At 60.2% G+C, this 22,297-nt stretch overlaps 1 protein-coding gene across 4 annotated transcripts, besides 6 other annotated features; it reads left to right on the top strand.

The window, feature by feature from the left end:
- Positions 9,322 to 9,616: an enhancer, noted in NCBI's record as "tiled region #1858; HepG2 Activating DNase unmatched - State 20:ReprD, and K562 Activating DNase unmatched - State 8:EnhW". NCBI's record gives its function as "activates a minimal TATA promoter and a strong SV40 promoter by Sharpr-MPRA in HepG2 and K562 cells {active_cell/tissue: HepG2 | K562}" and the evidence as "EXISTENCE:reporter gene assay evidence [ECO:0000049][PMID:27701403]".
- Positions 9,584 to 19,049, top strand: HS3ST6 (heparan sulfate-glucosamine 3-sulfotransferase 6). Of its 4 annotated transcripts, none has more exons than XM_011522608.3 (2): positions 9,584 to 9,734; positions 18,319 to 19,049. In XM_011522608.3, the coding sequence occupies exons 1-2, from the start codon at positions 9,697 to 9,699 to the stop codon at positions 18,932 to 18,934; spliced, it is 654 nt and encodes a 217-aa protein (XP_011520910.1). In that variant the 5' UTR covers positions 9,584 to 9,696; the 3' UTR covers positions 18,935 to 19,049. The 4 variants fall into 4 exon arrangements, with proteins under 4 accessions (XP_011520910.1, NP_001009606.3, XP_047290443.1 ...); NM_001009606.4 differs by lacking the exon at positions 9,584 to 9,734 and adding an exon at positions 12,109 to 12,613; XM_047434487.1 differs by lacking the exon at positions 9,584 to 9,734 and adding an exon at positions 13,046 to 13,157.
- Positions 9,765 to 10,328: an enhancer, noted in NCBI's record as "H3K27ac-H3K4me1 hESC enhancer chr16:1970197-1970760 (GRCh37/hg19 assembly coordinates)". NCBI's record gives its function as "activates a minimal SCP1, AML or CMV promoter by ChIP-STARR-seq in naive H9 embryonic stem cells {active_cell/tissue: H9 hESC(naive)}" and the evidence as "EXISTENCE:reporter gene assay evidence [ECO:0000049][PMID:30033119]".
- Positions 10,329 to 10,890: an enhancer, noted in NCBI's record as "H3K27ac-H3K4me1 hESC enhancer chr16:1969635-1970196 (GRCh37/hg19 assembly coordinates)". NCBI's record gives its function as "activates a minimal SCP1, AML or CMV promoter by ChIP-STARR-seq in naive H9 embryonic stem cells {active_cell/tissue: H9 hESC(naive)}" and the evidence as "EXISTENCE:reporter gene assay evidence [ECO:0000049][PMID:30033119]".
- Positions 10,891 to 11,454: an enhancer, noted in NCBI's record as "H3K4me1 hESC enhancer chr16:1969071-1969634 (GRCh37/hg19 assembly coordinates)". NCBI's record gives its function as "activates a minimal SCP1, AML or CMV promoter by ChIP-STARR-seq in naive H9 embryonic stem cells {active_cell/tissue: H9 hESC(naive)}" and the evidence as "EXISTENCE:reporter gene assay evidence [ECO:0000049][PMID:30033119]".
- Positions 11,455 to 12,016: an enhancer, noted in NCBI's record as "H3K4me1 hESC enhancer chr16:1968509-1969070 (GRCh37/hg19 assembly coordinates)". NCBI's record gives its function as "activates a minimal SCP1, AML or CMV promoter by ChIP-STARR-seq in primed H9 embryonic stem cells {active_cell/tissue: H9 hESC(primed)}" and the evidence as "EXISTENCE:reporter gene assay evidence [ECO:0000049][PMID:30033119]".
- Positions 18,133 to 18,690: an enhancer, noted in NCBI's record as "H3K27ac-H3K4me1 hESC enhancer chr16:1961835-1962392 (GRCh37/hg19 assembly coordinates)". NCBI's record gives its function as "activates a minimal SCP1, AML or CMV promoter by ChIP-STARR-seq in primed H9 embryonic stem cells {active_cell/tissue: H9 hESC(primed)}" and the evidence as "EXISTENCE:reporter gene assay evidence [ECO:0000049][PMID:30033119]".
- Positions 19,050 to 22,297: the final 3,248 nt, after the last annotated feature.

Genomic DNA, 22,297 nt, shown 5'->3' with positions numbered 1-22,297 from the left:
GGGATGGCTGTGGGCAAGGTCTGTATGCCAGGTCACCGGAGGAGGGGGTGGTGTTTCCAGCAATGGAGCGTCTGGTGTGGAATCAGTCACCTTACCCTCCCGCTCCTGCTGGGTGATACCCCATCCTTGCGGCTGCCCCCGCGTCTTCCTTGAGGAACAGCAGACTCTGAGGGGGCAGCCCCTTCCTCCCCAGGGCACGGCCTTGCCCCTCAAGGGTTGGGTTCAGGGGCAGCGGGCAGGCCTGGGCACGGCTGGGCCGTCACCTCGGGCGAGGGATGGGGAATAAAAAGGAACTCTGTCTGAGACACCGTGATCCCTCGCCGGGGCCCAGGCCTGGCTCAGAGCAGCCACCAGGAAGCGTCTGCGGCCCGTATGGGGGAACAGACCATACTTCAGACCCTTGCTCAACCACCGCTTTCCGCTCTCTCAGTGGCAGGTGCCGCGCAGAGCCTGGCCCTGGTGGGGCTGTGGCCCCTGGTGGGGGTGGGGGCCGTGGGCAGCTCCCGGGAGGCTCCTACCCGCGGACGGGTCGGCAGGTGGGAGGAGGGGGCGTCCGGTAGGGTCGGCGAAGGCGCCGAGGCCACGTGCAAGCCCCGGCCCTCGAGGCGGCCTCCCGGGCCCGGGCGCGGGACCGTGCGCAGGACTGACCAGCAGGGGGCACGCTCGCTCGGTGCTGCCAGGCCGGGTGGTCTGCGTGCGCAGGCGCGGCGGGGGGCCTGACGGCGCTGCAGTTCCCCGGGTGGCCGCGGGGGTTGCGGCGGAGGCAGCGAGCGTCCGCGCAGAGAAACCGCCTCGGCCACGCCCGCCCTTGGGCCGGTGCTGGGGACCCAGGCCGAGGCCTCTGGTCGTCTGAGGGTGCCAGGGGCAGCTGCAGGGGGTTTGCCGGGCTTCACGAAGTGACCGCTACAGGGAGTGCAGTCGCAGCCACGGGTGCCCCTTCCAGGGTCACCGGAGGACAGAGCCAGGGGCGGGGGCGGGGGTGGCGCGGCCGGTGGGAACGGCAGGCGTGGTTGGGGGCGCGGGTGGAGGCAGGACGCCCCCAGCCCCTTCTTCAGGGCAGCTGCGTGGGACCCAGGCTGCCCGGACCTGGCCCGCCCTCAGGGCTAGATCCTAGGGTTCCACATCCCAGGCCTCTTTCCTCCGCCCACCTCTCCCCGCTACAACCCAGGCAGCTCCTGGCTGCCTTCCCCCAACCAGAGTCCTCTCTGCAAAATAATAACCAGACCAGGTCCCTCCCTCAGAGGTTCCCACAGTCCTTGCCTGCTCTGACCTAGGCTGACCCCACCTCTCCAGCTTGATTTCCTACTCCATAAATGAGATCGGTGTTGTTTATCATAATTACAGTTTGGGGTTGTTTCTTTTTTTTTTTTTTTTTGAGACGGAGTCTGGCACTGCCGCCCAGGCTGGAGTGCAGTGGCGCGATCTCGGCTCACTGCAAGCTCCGCCTCCCGGGTTCACGCCATTCTCGTGCCTCAGCCTCCCGAGTAGCTGGGACTACAGGCGCCCACCACTGCGCCCGGCTAATTTTTTTGTATTTTTGGTAGAGCCGGGGTTTCACTGTGTTAGCCAGGATGGTCTCGATCTCCTGACCTCATGATCCGCCCAGCAGGGCCTCCCAAAGTGCTGGGATTACAGGCATGAGCTACCGCGCCGGGCCTGGTTGTTTCTTCTTGAGAAGGGGGTTTCTCTGTTGCCTGGGCTGGAGTGCAGTGGCATGACCATGGATCACTGCAGCCTTGAATTCCTGGACTCAAGCGATCCTCCCAGGTCAACCTCCCGAATAGCTAGGACTACAGGTGTGCTACTACGCCCCGCTAATTTTTGTATTTTTAGTAGAGACAGGGTTTTGCCATGTTGTCCAGGCTAGTCTGGAACGCCTGGGCTCAAGTGACACTCCCGCTTTGGTCTCCCAAAGTGCTGGGATTACAGGCATGAGCCACTGTGCCTGGCTAATTTTTTAAAAAAACTTTTTGTAGAGACGTGCTCTGGCTTTGTTGCCCAGGCTGATCTTGAATTCCTGGGCTCAAGGGATCCCCCACCTCGGCTTCCCAGAATGCTGGGATTATAGGTGTGAGCTCCTCAGCCCAGTCAATTATGTTGTTGTTACTGCCCGCATCACCTGAACCCAAACCCTTTCACCTGCACCTCCAGGCAAACCAGACCCCACTCTAGAAACACATCCTTGCATTCCTAGAGTTTGTTTTTCCTTCTTCTGTTTTGTCCTTCCACACGCATCACAACCCTTCTAGAAGCTTTTCTTGGGGGCTCTGCCCCAGTGGTCCTCTCCTTCCCCCACAGCAGGGGCCTGGGTGGGCCTCCTCTGTGCATGCAGACTGGGCCCCTGTTACCCTCTTGCAGGCCTCACCCATCCTAGGTCAAGGAGCTCCTCAAAGCCATCAACCACAGCACCTTCATCTCATTCTCTCTCTCTCTTTTTTTTTTTGAGATGGAGTCTTGCTCTGTCGCCCAGGCTGGAGTGCAGTGGCACAATCTCGGCTCACTGCAACCTCCGCCTCCCAGATTCAAGCGATTCTCCTGCCTCAGCCTCCTGAGTAGCTGGGATTACAGGCGCGCGCCATCACGCCGGCTAATTTTTGTATTTTTAGTAGAGAGGGGGTTTCACCATGTTCGCCAGGATGGTCTTGGTCTCTTGACCTCGTGATCTGCCTGCCTTGGCCTCCCAAAGTGCTGGGATTACAGGCGTGAGCCACCATGCCCAGTCTTTTTTTTTTTTTTTTTTTTTTGAGATGGAGTCTTGCTCTTTTGCCCAGGCTGGAGTACAGTGGCACAATCTCGGCTCACTGCAACCTGTGCCTCCCCCGGGTTCAAGTGATTCTTCTGCCTCAGCATCTCGAGTAGCTGGGACTACAGGCATGCACCACTACATCCAGCTAATTTTTTTTTTTTTGTATTTTTATCAGAGATGGGGTTCGCCATGTTGACCAGGCTGGTCTTGAACTCCTGACCTTAGGTGATCCGCCTGCCTCAGCCTCCCAAAGTACTGGGATTACAGGCATGAGCCTCCACACTCAGCCCCAAATATATTTTAAGTGTCTCCTTTTCTCTATCACCAATGCCACCTCCCCAGCCCAAGGCTCAGTCATTCCTCACCTTCAGTACTGTGATAACCTGGTTTAGAACCTAGTTGATTCGGGCCAGGCGCAGTAGTTCGGTCTCCCAAAGTGCTGGGATTACAGGCGTGAGCCACCATGTCTGGCCCTCATTCTGTTTCTTAAATGCTGAGCCCTCGGGGTGCTGCGTACGGCAGCAGCAGATGAAGAAATGTTCACCCACTCACACCACCTGCTCCGTACTCCCCTTCAGGGTTGCACAATCTTGGGAGGGGTGCCAGATGTGTACCCCACATCTACATGGATGTGTTGGCGGTCTGGGGAATGCAGGGTCCTCAAGCCACCTATCACCCTCTCCAGGGCCTGGGCACTAAGGCTGTGGTTAACAGAGCTTGGGGTAAGAAGCCCTGGGAAGAAGGTTGGTGGGGCTTCAGTGACAGAGGGCCAGGAGGCGGCTGGGGAGGGGCTCAGGGTTACCTGTGGATAAGCTTTCTCCACTTCCAACCCCTCACGGCCCTCCACTCCCTGTCTCCTTGTAAAACCTTGGAGGTTATTCATGGTTCAGCCCCTGACTTCCTGTCTTACCGAGTTTCATCTCCAGGACATTTATAAGCTACTCTTGGCTTCGAAGGGTTTGGTGGCTGCAATGCAGGAGAGGGGAGGAGAGGGTGGCCAGAACCAGGTGGGCTGGGTGCCAGGACCCCTGGGGTCTGCTTCCAGCCATGGACTAGGCCTGCTGGCCCTGGGCTTCCCCTTCCACCTCAACTCCATGGCCTTTTTGGTCTCGAAGTCTCTCTCGGAGTATGATTCTTTGCTGGGCCCCAGAACTCCAAGCCGGGGAGCCCCTGGTGTGTATCCAGGTCTAAGGCGAGGGAGGGCAACTGGAGTCAGAGAGAGGACAGCAGTGACCAGCCTGGGAGATGAGGGATGGAGTCCTGGCTCTCGGCCAGAGGGGTGGGGGGAGGGGGAGGGGTTGACTTTGAAGGCTGTGAAGCCTAAGAGGGGCGAGGCAGGGGTGGGGGTTGGGAAGAGGAATTTAGAGCTCTCGGCCTGACTGCAGGTTCTGAGTCCTCCTGAGCGTTGAACCGAGTAAGACAGGCCACATGCCTGTCTGGTCCACTGCGGGGGTGAGGTGCTGCCCCCGGAAGTAGGGCAAATGGAGGTGCCCTTGCTGGGGATCCTGTCTGCTGGCCAGGGGGGACTAACTCTTCAAAAGGGGCTTACAGGCAGGCGCGCACGGTGGCTCGTGCCTGTAATCCCAGCACTTTGGGAGGCCGAGGCAGACGGATCACCTGAGGTCATGAGATCGAGACCATCCTGGCCAACATGGTGAAACCCCATCTCTACTAAAAATACAAAAAATTAGCTGGACATGGTGGCACATGCCTGTAATCCCAGCTACTCGGGAGGCTGAGGCAGGAGATTCACTTGAACCTGGAAGGCGGAGGTTGCAGTGAGCCGAGATCGCGCCATTGCACTCAAGCCTGGGCAACAGAGCGAGACTCCCTCTCAAAAACAAACAAACAAACAAAAAACAGAAGGGGGCTTACAGGCTCCAAAAGTGGTGTGGGGTGTCACTTGGGGCTTTCCACACTGTGTGAAGGTGCCTGGGGCCTGGCTGCAGGCCTCTGAACCCCCCTCCACCTGTGCCCACGTGCACACTCACAGAAGATGTGTACACTCACCAGGGTCCACAGACAGGCACACAGAGTCCCATCTCCTGTGCAGCGCATGGGACTCCTGGGCCTGTGTCCAGTCCCCTTGCTCCTGACGAACATGCTCCTGGTGGCCTTCCAGTCCATGGAGACCATCGACAGGGCTGGACAGACCTGGCCACAGAGGACTCTCTTGGGGTTGATTGAACGCTGCTCTGCCCTCCCCACAGGGCTGGGAGACTTCCATGCCCAAAGGCCTGGCTTAGGGCTATGAAACTGGAGGAGGTGGGGCTGGGGGAGGGCAAGGAGAGCCCTGTTTCTGTGGGACCCTCCTCTTGTCCTGTTCAGATCCACCCTGGAGATAGAGGCACAAATGGGACTACCAGCCTGGAAGAAGGATTGCTACATTGTTTTTTGTTTTGTTTTTTTGGAGACAGTGTCTAGCTCTGTCACCCAGGCTGGAGTGCAATGGTGCAATCTTGGCTTATTGCAACCTCTGCCTCCCAGGTTCAAGCGATTCTCCTGCCTCAGCCTCCCAAGGGGCTGGGATTACATGCACGAGCCACTGTGCCCAGCTAATTTTTGTATTTTTAGTAGAGACGGGGTTTCGCCATGTTGGCCAGGTTGGTCTTGAACTCTCGACCTCAGATGATCACCCGCCTCAGCCTCCCAAAGTACTGGGATTACAGGTGTGAGCCACTGTGCCCGGCCTGATTGCTACATTTTTATAAATTGAACTGGCCAGGCTGGTGGGCAAGAGGCAGTTTGCAGGGCCCAGTTATTCATGGAGGTTGGGGGAGGGAACAGGAAAGAGTAGCAAATCGCCTTCTCTCTGTGCTGATTCCTCCAGGAAGACCCAAGGGAGAGGATTGAGGGTGGCTGGAAGCAGGCTGGGGCCACCCCTCTGCAGGAGAGGATTCTGGCTCCTCTGGCAAACCCTGCAACCCCAGGCAGGCTCCCAGCAGGCAGGGGACTGAAGACAGTGGGGAAGCGTCCTTCCCGATGCTGGGAATCTGGTCTGCCTTGGCAAATCCTGGGAAGCCCCACAACCCTTCTCTGTCACAGTGTCCCTGGGTCACCAGGAACAAGATCCAGGGTTCGGCAAGCCAGGCTTGCTTGCCACCGTGAGGCCAGTGATGCCTTTGTGCTCCAGCCTTGTCTGCAGGGAAGACGGAATTATGAGATAGGTCCTCAGTTTCCCCAGCGCGGGAGCAGCCTCCGAGCACCCCTTCTGTGGCCCCTGCCGCACGTTCTCTGGGTCCTTGTCGTAAAGAACATTCACCAAGCACTTAGGAGCTGGGTACAAAGGGAGGTGGGGGTGAGTGTCAACTTTGTTTAATACAGTAGGGAAGTGAGGATCACAGGCCTGGACTCCTGCTAAGGTCACCCGCTAGGAGGGGGCAGAGCTGGCTGGTTTTTTTTGAGATTGGGTCTTGCTCTGTGGCCCAAGCTGGAGTGCAGTGGTGCAATTATAGTTCACTGCAGCCTTGACCTCCTGGGCTCAAGAGTTCCTCCCACCTCAGCCTCCTGAGTAGCTGGGACCGCGGGTGTGCACCACCATGCCTGGCCAATTAAAATAGTTTTTTTTCTTTAGAGATGAGATCTCCCTATGTTGCCCAAGCAGGTGTCAAACTCCTGGGCTCAAGTAATCCTTCTACCTCAGCTTCCCAAAGTGCTGGAATTACAAGCGTGAGCCACCACGCCCGGCCACAGTGCTGGCCTTGAATCAGCCTTGAAGGTCCCTACAGCCTTTGCTGTTACCGTTGCCCCATCCTAGCAAGGGGCTCCTGCCCCGCCTCGGTCCCCACCAGGGTGAACTGGGAACAGCGGGCCCTCGGGGAGGGTAGGATGGGGGACTGGCCTCTCTGAGGGGCCCCTCCCTGGGAGGGAACCACATCCTTTATGAGCTCGGGCAAATCAGGCATCTGAAGTGGAAAAACCCCACACAAATCAAGGACAGCTGGGCCCGCCCTCTGGCGGCAGCCCCCTCCGCTTGCTCCCCTCGCAGGAATCCTGGCAGGAGGCACGGAGCGGGGCAGAGCCAGTCTCAGGGATGAAGGGTGTGGTTCTCAGGGAGGGAGTTCCTGGAGCTCCTCCTGGCTGTGTGAAATCTACCCTAGCTGTCTTCGGCGGAGGGCGGGGCCGCTAATCACTTTCCAGAGTGGGGCCGCGGTCCTGCCCTCGCTTGTGAGGGCCCAGGCTGGGGCTGCCCACCCCGGGGAGGGGACAGACTGGGAAAGAGGTGGAGAGGGGTGTCAGGGAGGGACACACACAGACACACACACACAGTCACTTAGTTGCTCAACAAACATGAGCTGTCATCCTGGTCAGGCGTGGAGCCACAAAAGGGATCAAGACTGACCCCGTCTCTGCCCTTGTAGAGATCATGGGTAGGTGGAGACAGGGATCAAAATCACCCACAAAGAAATAGTTACAGACTGTGAAGGGGGCACAAATGTAGCCAGGACGCTGGTTGAGGATCTGACGCCGGGCAGGGCATTCCTCCTAGCACGGCCTTGCTCCCCAGGACTCCCCACCTCTTCCCCTCTCCATCCCCTCCTGCCCTGGCCCTCCTTGTCACCTCTCCAAGGGACAACGTTTACTGGGCCCAGCAGCTGGGGCAGCACAGCCCATCTCCCCTCCCAGATCCTCTCCTCCCAGCCACTACATCAGGCCGACCATCCACATGTTCGTCAGCTGGAGGGTGGACAGACCATCTGCCTGGCTGTCTGGCTTATACAGGGGTCAAGATGAGCTCGGGCAGTGTGGACCCTCAAAACCCCTGGGGCCTTGGGAGATCCGGCTAGGCAGAAGGAACTTGTTGATGTCTGTTTCTTGGCGGAGGAGGACATTCAGACAGAGAGCAGGAGGCGAGGGACCCTCTCAGGGTGCAGGGACAGCCCACACCCTTTGTCCCTACAGTCTGGTTGCTCAGGTGTCCTGGGGCAGAGGGAAGGAAGTTTGTGTGTGAGGAGCATGGAGAAGAAGTTCCTGAAATTATCAGATTTAACCTTCATAAGGCACTCAACACAGAGTTACCATATGATTGAGCAATTTCACTCCTAGGTATATTCCCTAGAGACATGAAACGTATGTCCACTCAAAACCGTATACCTGAATGTTCATGGCAGCGTTATTCATAAGAACCCCGCAGTGGAAACAACCTAGATGTCCATCAACGAATGAGGGAATCAACAAAAGGTGGTCCATCCATACGATGGAGTATTACTCAGTCAGGAAGAGGAAGGAGGTACTGGCACATGCCACAGTGTTGATGAACCTGGAGAACATGCTGAGTAAGAGACCCAGACACAAAAGGACGAACATTGTATGATTCTCTTTTTTTTTTTTCATTTTAGAGATGGTGTCTCACTCTGTCTCCCAGGCTGGAGTGGAATGGTGCAATTTCAGCTTCACTGCAACCTCTGCCTCCCGGGTTCAAGGGTTTCTTGTGCCTCAGCCTCCCGAGTAGCTGGGACTACAGGCGTGCACCACCACACCTGGCTAATTTATTATTATTATTATTTGAGATGGAGTTTTGCTGTTGTTGCCCAGGCTGGAGTGCAATCGCGCGATCTCGGCTCACCACAACCTCTGCCTCCCGGGTTCAAGCCATTCTCCTTCCTCAGCCTCCCAAGTAGCTGAGATTACAGGCATGCACCACCACACCCAGCTAATTTTTTGTATTTTTAGTAGAGACAGGGTTTCTTCATGTTGGTCAGGCTGGTCTCGAACTCTCAACCTCAGGTGATCTGCCCACCTCGGCCTCCCAAAGTGCTGGGATTACAAGTGTAAGCCATGGCGCCTGGCCCACACCTGGCTAATTTATGTATTTTTGGTAGAGACAGGGTTTCACCATGTTGGCCAGGCTGGTCTCGAACTCCTGACCTCAAGTGATCCACCTGCCTTGGCCTCCCAAAATGCTGGGATTACAGGCATGAGCCACTGTGACTGGCCATATTTCTTTCTTTCTTTCTTTCTGTTTTAGAGATGGGCTCTCACTCTGTCGCCCAGGCTGGAATGCAGTGGTATGATCATGGCTCACTGCAGCCTCGTACTCCTGGGCTCAAGCGATCCTCCCACCTCAGCCTCCTGAGTAAGCTAGGACTATAGGTGCATACCATCACGCTTGGCAAATTTTGAAATTTTTTGTAGAGACTGGTACTCCCTATGTTGCCCAGGCTGGTTTTGAATTCCCCGCCTCAAGTGAACCTCCTGCCTCAGACTTCCAAAGTGCTGGGACTACTGGTGTGCGCCACTGTGCCTGGCTAAATTTAAAATATTTTGTACAGACGGGGTTCTCGCTTTGTTGCCCAGGTTGGTCTTGAACTCCTGGCTTCAAGCAATGATTCTCTTTTTGTGAAATGTCCAGAATAGGCAAACCCATAGAGACAGAAAGTAGATTCGTGGTTGCCAGGGGCTGTGGGAAGGGGAGAAGAGGGCGTCATTGCTAATGGACACAGGATTTCTTTTTGGGGTGATAGAAATGTTCTAAAATTGATTGTGATTGCACGACTATGAATATACTGAAAACCATTGATTTGCATGCGACAAATGGCTGGATTGAGTGGTGTGTGAATTACATCACAATAAAGCTGTTACTCTTCAGAGACTCATGCGAGTCATGACTGAGGTCTTCATTTTACAAAGGAGGGTCTGGTGGCTCAGAGTTGGTGGGAGCCTGAGGAGGAGGCGGGGCTGGACCAGCCTCAGGCCAGACTCTAAGCCCCGCCCCTGTTCCCGCAGGGCCTTAAGCTCCACCCCATCCTCTACTGCCCGGGCTCTCTGCTGCTGAGCCTTCACCCACACGGTTCCTTGGCCTGGAATGCTGTTCTCCTCGTCTTCACCTGGCCGTCACCTCCAGAAAGCCTTCCCGACCTCTCCTCCCACGTATACCCTTCCACTGAGCGACATTAATGGAATGTCCACTGCGTGCCAGGCTCTGTTAGGTGCTGGGGATCCACTGGTGAATGAACAGCCCCAGTGCTGCCATCCTGGGCGCCCCGAGGTGTGTAGCCACCGTCAGCCGAGTGCCTGATGGAGGGAGGGGTCAGCTTCCAGGAGAACCCTCCGAGCCGACTCCTGGTCCCTGCATCTCTCTCTCCCTGTCCCCAGTCCATTCCACATCCTGCTGTTCTGCGTTCTGGTCAATTCCTCCTGGAAAGTCCTTCTGCCCTCAGCGGGGACTAAGGATAAAGCATCCAGCAGAGAGACGGCAGCGGAAAGGCCAGGAGATGGAAATGACCATGCTGGGCTGGGCAGGGGGCTGGAGGAGCCATCACGGAACCAGTGCTGGAATTTCAAGTCCTGAGTAGGGACTGCTGAGACCGTGGGGATGGCTGAGACTGTGGGGACGGCTGAGACCGTGGGGATGGCTGAGACCGTGGGGACTGCTGAACCTGTGGGGACTCCTGAGACCGTGGGAACAGCTGAGACCGTGGGGACTCAGACCGTGGGGACGGCTGAGACCGTGGGGACTCCTGAGACCGTGGGGATGGCTGAGACCGTGGGGGCTCCTGAGACCGTGGGGACTGCTGAGACCGTGGGGACTCCTGAGACCGTGGGGATGGCTGAGACCGTGGGGGCTCCTGAGACCGTGGGGACTGCTGAGACCGTGGGGACGGCTGAGACCGTGGGGACTCCTGAGACCCTGGGGACGGCTGAGACCATGGGGACGGCTGAGACCGTGGGGACTCCTGAGACCCTGGGGACAGCTGAGACCATGGGGATGCTGAGACCGTGGGGACTCCTGAGACCGTGAGGACTCCTGAGACCGTGGGGACTGCTGAGACTGTGGGGTGGATGCTGCAGGGTGGGACCCCAGCCCCCACCCCGAGCCAGCCCGTTGGGAACAATACCGTTTCAAGCTAGACCAGAAGAAGAATTTCCTGTGACCCAGCATAAGCCAGCATGCTCTCCTCGCATTGTGCCCGCTGCCTGCCCACGGGGCTCCTGCAGAGGCTTGCCCAGATGAGCAGGTGCAGCCCGCATGTCTGGAGCCGGGGCTGGGGGACTGGTCAGTGGTCTTCACCCCGTCAGCCCCGTGTGGCCCCCTCTGGCCAGGGCTGCTGCTGGGTAGGAGCTCCGGAATGTCTGTGGGTCGTGGAGGCCTTCGGCCCCTTGAGGCAGCCCGGCTGCTGGGACTTGTCCAGATGCCATCAGGGCTGGAACGGCTCATTAACGCAGCAGAGCCCAGGACAGGGGCCGCAAGCCCTTGGCTGGGAAGAGGCTGGGCCTCTGCCGGGAGCCTGTGCCGTGCCTGCCTGGCGCCAGCCCTGTGGCCAGGAAGGCTGGGGCAGAGGTGGAGAGAGGACCCGGGTCTCATACCACCTTTGCCTTCGGATGGGGCAAGTTGCTCGCCCTCTCTGAGCCCGGCTCGCCTCCCCTGCCTTCCCTGCAGGCTGCTGCTGGGCGTTGGGGATGTGAAGTTCCCGCAGTGTCTAGCGGCCCCCGCAGGTCCCACCCGAGAGGCCCCTGAATCTCACGCCCCTCAGAGGCAGCCCCTGGGGGAGGTCCTGGGCTCCTTCTCTTCCCCAGCACAGGGGTCCCTGAGTCCTTTGTACTCCAGTGGGGTCCACTTTGCCAGCTTCCGAAATGCATCACTGATGTCTCTGGGCAGTGCCAGGTGGACCAAGGCTGGGCAGATGGGGTGACTTAGTAGACAGAGTATGTCTCAGGCCTGAATTCAGTTCACCACTGGGCCCCTGGGAGGGAAACCTATTTTCTCTGAGCCTGTCCCCTCCATTCTAAAACAGTAACCAGAGGTGACTTGACCTCTCAGCGGCCAGGCTGTGACCCGATGTGTGACTGTCAGCTGGGAGTGCAGGACGCACGCCATTCCCGGCCGCAGACTCCCCCCACACGTTCTGGGATCCCTCTCTGCACACTAGGGTGCTGTCCCGGCCTCTTTCTCCCTTGGCAGGCCGAGTGCCCGGATCGACGCTTTTCCTGGGTCCCCTTGGCCTGGCGATGAGGCTCCCGCTCCTGCAGGCCAAGGCTTGGCCTATGCACCTGCCGCGCACGTCCCGGAGTGGGGTGGGGGGGGAAGGGGATCGGTCTTCAAACAGAGGGTCCCGAGGCCCGCGCGCCGCCCTGTCCCTGCCCTGCGTCCCGAACGGCCACCGCCGCCGCATCCTCCCCGCGCAGAGGTGAAGATGCCGGAGTCAAGCGAGCCAGGGCCTGGGATCTCGGAGCAGGAGCGTCCTGGTGGTCCCGGCAGCTCGAGTCGCGCCCGGGTGGTGGCGGCTGCCGGCGGGTCCAGCCCAGGCAGTGGCCTCGGAGGCGGAGTGGGCGGGGGAGGGGGAGGGGGGAGGGCGTCCAGACCCCGCCCCCGGTCCCGCCCCGCGCCCGCTCCCAGGCTGCGGGACCGCCGGGCGCAGAGCACAAGCCGGGCACCCACGGACTGAGCGGCGCGCGGGCCGAGATGCGCGCCCGCCTGCTGCCCCCGCTCCCGGGCCTGGAGCGGCGCGACCCCATGGCAGGTAGCGGCGGCCTGGGCGGCGGGGCCGGGGGCGGCCAGGGCGCAGGGGCCGGGCAAGGGGCCGCTCTGCGGGCGTCCCGCGCGCCGATGCTGCTCGTGGCCCTGGTGCTCGGCGCCTACTGCCTCTGCGCCCTCCCCGGCCGCTGCCCGCCGGCCGCCCGCGCCCCCGCGCCGGCCCCCGCGCCCTCCGAGCCGTCCAGCTCCGTCCACCGCCCGGGAGCACCCGGCCTGCCTTTGGCCAGCGGTCCCGGCCGCCGGCGCTTCCCGCAAGCGCTCATCGTTGGCGTGAAGAAGGGCGGCACGCGCGCCCTGCTGGAGTTTCTGCGGCTGCACCCCGACGTCCGCGCGCTGGGCTCTGAGCCCCACTTCTTCGACAGGTGCTACGAGCGCGGCCTCGCCTGGTACCGGTGAGCACCCTGGCCCGTCCGCCCTGACCGGCGCCTTCCTGGGGAGGGTATCGTGCGCCCCAGGGAGCAGCGGCACGATATCCTGCCTCCCAGGGAGCAGGGGTGCGCTCCGGGCAGTGGGGTTGGGACCGCCCTGTGGGGGCCCCAGGCTTGACCTGGGGTCCCGGCTCCGGAAGAAGGAATGATACTTGGCTAGGATTCCCTGAAACTTTGAAAACTGTGGGGAAAGCCCCGGTTCCGTTCTCTCTGCTGAGGGACCCAGCAGGACTGGGGGAGGCGGTGGCTTCCCAGCCCAGAGGTCGTTTCCAGCCCGTGGGATTACCTGGCAGCGTCAGAAATGCCTCTGCCGCCCGCTCACTCTGGGCACTCAGGTGTGACCGACCGCTGGCCAGGTACTGTAGAAAGGGGCCTCCAGGTTCCAGGCAGCCACCTAGAAAGCGTCCTTCCTCCCCAAGACCCCCGAGTCTGCGCACAGGAACCCTTGTTGGTGGTCCTGGGAGTCCGGAGAAAGTCTGGGCTTTGGAAAGGAGGAGACTGCCTTTAGGTGAGTGCCCAGGGTGAGTCCAGCCCCGTGCATGGGGCTCTGTGGCTGTCCTGCCTCTACCCAGGATGGACGTGGGGGTGCGGCAGCCTCAGCTGAAGCAGCCCGCGCTGGTGGCTGCTCATCCCCAAGCTTGGACCCAGCGCCTGCAGAGAGGACCCTGCCCAAGGCCAGTTGGGGAGTCAGTGGGGGTGGCAGGACCCAGACGCTTCTCCAGGTGCTCCAGTTTCTCCGTTCCCGATCCTCTGATCCTCTTCCTTCCCTGACGCCTACCCCTATTTGTTAACTTTGCCTTTTGTACTAAAACTACTCTTGGGTTTGGAGGGCAGGCAGGAAGGGGCTCCGTGAGAATAGGGTGGCTCGCTTCTGAGATCTGAAGGGCTGGTGCCAGTGTGGGGTGCTGGGGAAGTCAGGTGGTGGCTAGGGGACATGGAGTCCATCCCGGGGCTCACCTGGCTGAATTGGGCATCCTCAGCTCAGGCTCCAGGGAGAGACCTCACTCCCCTGACGGCAGGCAGGGGTCAGAATGCATCCCTAATCCCTGCTGCAGGGAGGAGGGTAGGAGGGGCTACCAAGCTAGAAGCTGGGGAGGAGGGGAGTGGCGAGACGGGGGAGGAGGGGAGAGGCGGGAGGGGGAAGGGGAGAAAGGGCTTTGGGTTAAGGATGCACAGTTAACTGGAGTAAACACTTCAGAGCCACCCCTGAGCCCCATGAGCTTTGACAGCAAGAGACTGGGGGTGGGATCTGAGCTGGGCCGTGAGGAGCCACAGGGGAAGCTAGGGTTGGGTTTAGCCCTAAAGGGTTCTGGAAGAGCCCAGGCTCCTGAGGCCAGTCCAGGCCCGCCCTGGGCATGTGTCCAGCGCTGGGGGATCAGTTTGGGGAGGATGAGAGGCAGCCAAGGCCAGGCCCAACTTGGGAGTCAGCTCCTTAGCCTGGGGGTGGGGTTCCGGGGACACTGACGTGCCCAGGGTTGGAGGGGGGTACAGGAGAGTGACTGCTCTGGTAGATTCTTGACGTCCTCATTTTTTAGAAGGGGGAGGGGTGGGTGTGGAGAATTCCAAGGGGTCAGTCCCGTGGCTTCTGCCTCATTAATCTGGTATTGTCCCTTGGACCAACTGTGCTGACCCCTCACTGGGCGGTGCAGAGCCAGTAGAGCTGGGCCTGCTGAGCTTCCGCATTGCAAGTGTCCTCATGCTCTCCGAGGGGCCGTGGCCACGTGGGGCTGGTGTGCTCCTAGGTGCCTGTGCCTCCGTCCTTTCAGCCTGCTAGGAGCCTGCAATGAGCCTCTGAAAGTTCTCACCCTGTCTCAGTTTCCCCAACTGCAAGGCAGCATTGTCTGCTCTTGAGACCCTGGACTGGGCCCCCAGTGCCTGCAAGCTCTGTTCTGGGTGCCGACGCGGGGAGGCGAGCAGAGTAACCAGGGCCCCCAGTTGAGTCTCCGGGCCACGGCTCCCACTGGGCTGTGACCGACCTAGTTCCAGGCGGTGACCCGGCCTTCCTGTGGCCTCGGCAGTTGGGTCCTGGATTGACTTTGGCCATAGGCCCTCCTTCCCTCCTCTCCACCGTCAGTCAGCTCATCCAGGCTCTTGAGGGGCCTCCCACTTGGGGACTGTAGCCCACTAGTGCCCCCGAGCTCAGCACATGCTCAGCCGTTCCCCCACTAGTGAAGCACCTGTGTCTGCCAGGTGTGGGGGTCACGCAGACTCCCCAAGGTCTCGATCTGGGAAGGGTGCCCTGTCTGGGGGCAAATGGGGGCTGTACTTTGACCATCATCTTTTAGAAAAGCAAGAGGAGGGTGGGGCACAGTGGCTCACGCCTGTAATCCCAGCCCTTTGGGAGGCTGAGGTGGGCAGATTACCTGAGGTCAGGAGTTTGAGACCAGCCTGACTAACATGGTGAAACCCCATCTCTACTAAAAATACAAAAATTAGCCAGGCGTGGTGATGGGTGCCTGTATTCCCAGCTACTTGGGAGGCTGAGGCAGGAGAATCGCTTGAACCCGGGAGGCAGAGGTTGTAGTGAGCTGAGATTGTGCCACTGCACTCCAGCCTGGGCGACAAGAGTCAGCTGGAGTGCAGCTCTGTCTCAAAAACAAACAAAACAAAAGAAAAGCAAGAGGAGGCAAGGAGCGGGGTGGGTAGGGGAACCCCTTAGTTCCTGGTTTGCAAGAGCAGTGGGTGCAGGGAGTGGGGTCTGAGTATGTAGTGGGGAAGAACCCGGTCTCCTGTGGGGGATGCAGTCCCCCTGCACTTTCTGGCTTTGGCATCTGCCAGGCCCTTTTGGCATCTGCGAGTCCCAGGCCTGAGGTGTGGGGCAGGAGGAGGGAGGCTGAGATGGAGGAGGGAGGGTCGCCCAGGGCTGGATGAAAGCCGCAGGGAAATGCACACCAGATGAGGTGGGCTCCACAAGGAGGGGGGCAGTCCTCAGAGCAACTTGTCAGATGTTTGTCACACGGGGGTCCAGTCCTGCTCCTCTCCCTCCTCCCCCGTCTCTCCCACCCTCATCCACACCTGGGCTAGGATAGGCTTCGGATGCCTGGGGAGGGAAAGTAATTGATCCCAAAGATCTCCGATCTCTGAGCTGGTTTGTGCAAGAGGGGGCCTCGAAAGCCCTTGCCGCCTGTCTGTGTTCCCACTCCCCTTCCACGGCAGGGGGTCCGGGAACCCCATCCCCCTACGGAGCTCCCTCTGACTCTTTGGAGAGAAGGCCTGGCAGGGTGAACTTTCCTGTTTTGGTGCTGGTCCCTCCAGCAGGCAGGAAGAGGAGGATATTCAGAGTCACTGGTGTGCCATCTGGGAAAGGAAAGGGGTGGGCTCCTGGTCTCGCTTGGTGCCTGGGGTCAGTATGCCCGAGACGGGAGGGAAGGGCCTGGGGCTTCCTTCCTGGCCGAGGGGAAAAGCAGGCAGTGACTTCTCATGAGGCCTGGGGTCTTTCCCCTCCCAGCACTGGCCTGGTTTCTCTCTATGGGCATCGTCAGCGAGGTCCCGTGGTGGGGGGTGGTGCCTCCCCTTCTTGACCTCTCTCAGGGACGGGGGTGCCCCTGAGCTGCCAGGCCTCAGACCTTGGTACCGCCACCACCCAAGGCCTCTGTGTTTGTCCCTGGGACGCTGGGTGCGGCTCCCACGCGGGTTCCAGCTGCAGGAGGTGGGGCGGGGAGTGCAGGGGCTCTGGGACTGACACCACCCTTCCAGGTGGGCTGGAAGGAGGCAGCCCTCCAGGGTGGGAAGAGGGAGGGCTGAGCCCCACGCTCATCCCCAGCACCCCTGCCCCTCCCAGTCTCCCTGTGGCTGCTTCTGAAGTGGCAGTGGGTGGGTGGAGGGAGTCCCAGCTCCCTCTGTCACCAAGACGGAGGAGGACTTGTCCGGTATCGTCTGTAGGCCAGCTCTGCCCAGGGCCTGGTTCTGCGGGGTGGGAAGGCTCCCGTGCCGCCCACCCCTACTCTGCACCGCTCATGGTGGGTGTTGTGGGGGAAGCCTGGATTCTCTCCCGCTGCCTCACACATCCTCCCTCCCACCTCCAGCGCTCTCCACCGAGCACCCCACTGCAGGGGTCTGTGCAGCTGCCTCTGGCCCAGCCTGCGTTTCCCTGGGGGTCTGAGCAGGAAAAGGGGACTCAGAACCTGCCTCCCAAGGGCTCAAGTCTGGGGCGGTCACTCCTGGCAGGTCAGCCTCCTGGCAGGGGCCGGTCCTGGGGCTGTCAGCAGGGGTGGGGGAAGCCCCCTCAGAGGGCAGGAGTCAGGGCTGGGCGTGACTGGCAAGGCATCCCCTCCCTAACACAGTCCCTGTGTTTCTATCGACCTAGTTCCCAGCCCTCCCCAGCTCTCCCTCCGAGCTGTTTGCTCAGCTGACCTACCACGCCCTGCCCTGCCCAACCTCACCCTGCACTACCTGGCTGGCAGGTGCTGCCCGGGGCACTGCTGGGGGTGCCTGGGCCTGCCCGGGCTGGGCACCCAGAATGGGCTCTCTGCCCAGGTGGGACAGTCCTGGGCTGTGGTCGGCTGATTCCCCCGGGACCTTGGGACTGGGTCAGTGCCCTCCTCTCCTGTGTCAGAATGAGGAGAATCTCAGAAAGGCCCCCTCCCTGGCCTGGCACCCTGGCAACCTGCAAGATCTAGGGGGCCACAGCGGCCCAGGGTCTTGGGAAGGATCCTCCGGCCGGCGCCGCCACGTCTCCGACTTTCCTCACATGTGCTGGGCTCTGCTGGTAACTTTTTGGCCTGCTGAGTCCAGGCCCAGGCTGATGAGAATTCACAGGGCTACAGTTAAAGACGGGGAGAGAGGCCAGCCGCAGTGGCTCACGTCTGTAATCCCAGCACTTTGGGAGGCTGAGGCAGGCGGATCACCTGAGGTCAGGAGTTCGAGACCAGCCTGGCCAACATGGCGAAACCCCGTCTCTACTAAAAATACAAAAATTAGCTGGGTGTGGTGGCGGGCACCTGTAATCCCAGCTACTCCGGGGGCTGAGGCAGGAAAATCGCTTGAACCCGGGAGGCAGAGGTTGCAGTGAGCCGAGATTGCACCACTACACTCCAGCCTGGGTGACAGAGCAAGACTCCGTCTCAAAAAATAAATAAAGATGGGAAGAGATGTAATTACATCAGGGGAGGGAGGGAGCAGGGAGGACTACTTTTGGTTGAGGACACACTGTCAATAATTGGTGAAGGGCTGATTTAGGGGATGCTGTCAGCCACTGAGTGAACGGGTGACCTCAAGTGATCTAGGCGGGCGGGCCTCGGGGTACTTGGTCTGGGATGAGAAAGGAGCTGGGGGCAGCCTAGTTCCAGGAAAGTGTGGGTCCGGTGGGAGGGAGCTGGCTCTGGAAGCGAGGACGGCAGGGATTGCACAGGGAAGATATGTGGGTGGTGAGGAGCATTTGGGCCTCCCGACCAGCGACCGTCACCCTAATCCTCAGTGCAGCAGCAGGCGGGGCAGGCCGGCGGAACAGGCCGGGCTGCAGGCAGGTGCCGGGCTGGGCACCCTCACAGTCCATGTTCCAGGCTGCCCAGCCGCGCACGCTAGCAGGGGTGGGCCCGAGCAGGGAGGAAGACTTGCTCGCCCTGGAGGCCTGGGCTTCCCGGGCATAAGGGGGCCTTGGTCCCGGGCCCCTGGGGGCCGGTCTAGGGCTGGGGAGGCTCAGGCCCCCTCTCCTTGCACCCGTCCCGCAGGAGTCTGATGCCCCGAACCCTGGATGGGCAGATCACCATGGAGAAGACCCCCAGCTACTTCGTGACGCGAGAGGCCCCCCGCCGCATCCACGCCATGTCCCCGGACACGAAGCTGATCGTGGTGGTGCGGAACCCCGTGACCCGGGCCATCTCCGACTACGCCCAGACGCTCTCCAAGACCCCGGGCCTGCCCAGCTTCCGCGCCCTGGCCTTCCGCCACGGCCTGGGCCCCGTGGACACAGCCTGGAGCGCCGTCCGCATCGGCCTGTACGCCCAGCACCTGGACCACTGGCTGCGCTACTTCCCCCTGTCCCACTTCCTGTTCGTCAGCGGGGAGCGTCTGGTCAGCGACCCGGCCGGAGAGGTCGGCCGCGTGCAGGACTTCCTGGGCCTGAAACGGGTCGTCACGGACAAGCACTTCTACTTCAACGCCACCAAGGGCTTCCCCTGCCTCAAGAAGGCCCAGGGCGGCAGCCGTCCCCGCTGCCTGGGCAAGTCCAAGGGCCGGCCACACCCACGCGTGCCCCAGGCCCTGGTCCGGCGCCTGCAGGAGTTCTACCGGCCCTTCAACCGCAGGTTCTACCAGATGACGGGCCAGGACTTCGGCTGGGGCTGAGCGGCACCCTGGGGATGCTCAGCACCTTGATTGACACCCGCTCGCCTGGCCAGAGCGGGCTGCGTGCACATGCTGGGCAGAGAGGAATATTTAAGAAATAAAGCTTGGACCCAGATTTTTCCACAAACCTCGAGGTTGGAGGGTGGAGGCGCTGTCCCCAGGGATGTGGTAACCATATCAGCGAACTCCACTGGGCACTGACTGTGTGCCTCGTGTCGCACTTTTTTTTTTTTTTTTTTTTTGAGATCGAGTCTCGCTCTGTCGCCCAGGCTGGAGTGCAGTGGCGTGATCTCGACTCACTGCAAGCTCCACCTCCCGGGTTCACGCCATTCTCCTGCCTCAGCCTCCCGAGTAGCTGGGACTACAGGCGCCCACCACCACGCCCAGCTAATTTCTTTTTGTATTTTTAGTAGAGACGGGGTTTCACCGTGTTAGCCAGGATGGCTACGATCTCCTGACCTCGTGATCTACCCGCCTCAGCCTCCCAAAGTGCTGGGATTACAGGCGTGAGCCACCGCACCCAGCTATTTTTTTTTTTTTTTTTTTTTTGAGATGGAGTCTTGCTCTGTCACCATGCTGGAGTGCAGTGGTGTGATCTCAGCTCATTGCAACCTCCGCCTCCCAGGTTCAAGCAATTCTCCTGTCTCAGCCTCCCAAGTAGCTGGGATTACAGGCGTGTGCCACCACACCTGGGTAATTTTGTGTTTTTTTTTTTTTTTTTTTTTTTTTTAGTACAGACAGGGTTTCACCATGTTAGCCAGGATGGTCTGTATCTCCTGACCTGGTGATCCACTCGCCTTGGCCTCCCAAAGTGCTGGGATTACAGGCGTGAACCACCACACCCAGCCAATTTTAATTTTTTCTTAGGACAGAGTCACCCTCTGTGGCCCAGGCTGGAGTGCAGTGGTGTGATCTCAGCTCACTGCAGCCTCCACCTCCTGGGTTCCAGCGATTTTCCTACCTCAGCCTCCCAGGTAGCTGGGATTACAGGCATGCGCCAACATGCCCAGCTAATTTTTTTTGGTATTTTTAGTAGAGATGGGGTTTCACCATGTTGGCCAGGCTGGTCTCGAACTCCTGACCTCAAGTGATCCGCCCATCTTGGCTTCCCAAAGTGCTGGGATTACAGGCAGGAGCCACCACACCTGGCCCAAAACTCATTCTTTATACACCCTCAGAGGTGGGCAGTGCGCCTGGTCAGGTCTAGCCTGTGAGCTCGGAGAGGCGTAGGGCCCGCCCAGCGACATGCAGCTTAGCCCTAGTGATGCTGGGGGCCATGCTCAGGCTCTCTTCTCAGCCCTGGGAGGCTGGGCAGGGCTGTCCTCATGTTCAGGATGAGGAAAGTGAGGCTGCAGGCCTCGCTGTGGAGTGGTGGGGCAGGATTAAAGTCGGGTCCGCACCCACCACCTTGGCTCATCCGGAATCCAGGTGCGCAGTGGACGCTTCCTTCTGGAGCCTTGTGGAATTGCCTGAGTGTTGGTGAGGTCAGCGAGTGTTGGGTGTGTGCACAGGGAGACGGATTAATAGCCTCTTAGCCTTCCCTGTAGAGGCCCACCCATTCAGGCACCACCCACTCTCTGGCCCCACCCACTCCCCCAGGCCCCTGCTGCCCCAGTTCCGTGGTATTTGTTCTGTGCCCTCCCCTGGGGATAGGGCTGGGATCAGTGGCCATCTGCAGTCCAGCTGCCCGCTCATAACTGAGGCCAGACTCAGGCAGGCTGGGGTGCCCTGTCCGCCCCTGTGTCCTGGGAGTAGGAGGGACTCCTCAGTAATGACCCTCACCTGCTTGTGGCCACGTGCTGTCTGCCAGGTGCCCACCAGCTGCCCTGACGATGACCTCCGGGGCTGCTTGGGCTTAGCCCCAGGTCTGTCGCAAGGCCTAGCTGTGGTCTCCACAGCCCCGCTGAGTCCCACAGGCCCTGATATGGTCTTTCTGCCTCTCAGCTACTTGGAGCCACTCCCTGTTTTGGGAATGCAGGCAGTGAGGAAGGATTTGCAGGAGGGGCTGCGTCTGGACACCCACCCCGCCTCCTGCTAGTTTCTGGGCCCAGTGGACACTCTGCTCTGCAGCTGCCCTGAGGGGCAGGCACTTCCCACAGGCCTCTCCATCCCAGGCCAGGACAGAGGCAGGGCTGGAGGCCGGTTCTGAGCTCCCCTCCGAGCACCCACCCAGAGACTGCAGTGGCAACATGGTGGGCAGATGTGGGCCCAGATGTGGACAAGTCACAGGCACAGCCTCCGTCCTACCTCGAAGCTCTGATGTGGGTGGAGGGGAAAGGGCCCCCCCGACTGACAGCAGCTTTGGGAAGAGGGAACAGACTCCACCTCGGATCCCTGCCAGGAGGGGATCACTGGGCTGGGCTGCTCTGTCCCCACCCCCTGCACGGGTGCCCTCTGTGAAGACCGGGCCAACTGCCTGCCCCAGGCCTGGGGGTGGGAAGGAATACAGGACAGCCCCTGGCCCCTGGTGACCCAGTTCCCAGCCCGGTGCATGTGGATTTCTTCTTCCTGGACACACCCTTCTCATGCCTGGGCCGTTTCAGGGGCTGCTCACCATCATCCCACCACCTCTTTTGTTCTACAGTGAGCTCTCCGCATGGCAGCTGGAGGGCCGTCGCGGAATAAACCAGATCCTATTGTTTTAAAACTCTCTGATCCCCACCTTTTCCCCTTATTGCTTCTAGGATGAAAACCAAACTCCAGATCACAGCTGTTACAGCCCTCTACGGCTTGCCCCTCCGTCCTACATGCGCTCCTTATTCCAGCACGCCCACCACACTGGCACCTGCCAGCTCCTTCCACCTGCCGTGGCCTGTCCAACCTCATGGGCTTTGCATGTGCTATTCCCTCTGTCTGGAATGCCTTTCCCTGCAGAAGGTGCTGACGGGATGGAGGGGCAGCTGCTCTCACTGAGGCTCTGCTACTTTCCTCCCTCCGTTTAGAGTTCCTTTTCTGAGTCCACCAAATGACCCCATTGTTTCCGTCCCGACACAGAGCTGTGAGGGGTGGGGCACTGGTTTGGCTGGCTTTGGGGCCTGAACCCAGGGCCTGGGGGGGCAGACTCTGGAAGCAGCGAGGGGTGGGCTGGCGTATTCTGCACCCGCTGAGCAGGAACTCCGCCTAACCACCAGCACTCAATGCGGGTGAGGTGCCCAGCTGGGCCTCCGAACACACGGAGGGCAGATGTCGGTGGGGACCTACGGGCTGCGTGCAGGGAGGCGCTCCCTGGGAGAGTCATCAGCCTTTAATTAAAGTCCCTAAATTGCTTCCCCAGCCGCTCCGTGGGTTTTCCATGTTGGAATGTTCCAGATGGGGCGAGAAGCGCTGATTCAATTACCCTCTTCCTGTTCCGCCCGGTGGAGG

The sequence above is a fragment of the Homo sapiens genome, chromosome 16 (assembly GCF_000001405.40).
Source record: "Homo sapiens chromosome 16, GRCh38.p14 Primary Assembly".
NCBI classification, from domain to species: domain Eukaryota; kingdom Metazoa; phylum Chordata; class Mammalia; order Primates; family Hominidae; genus Homo; species Homo sapiens.
This window is presented reverse-complemented; position numbering and strand designations above follow the sequence as displayed.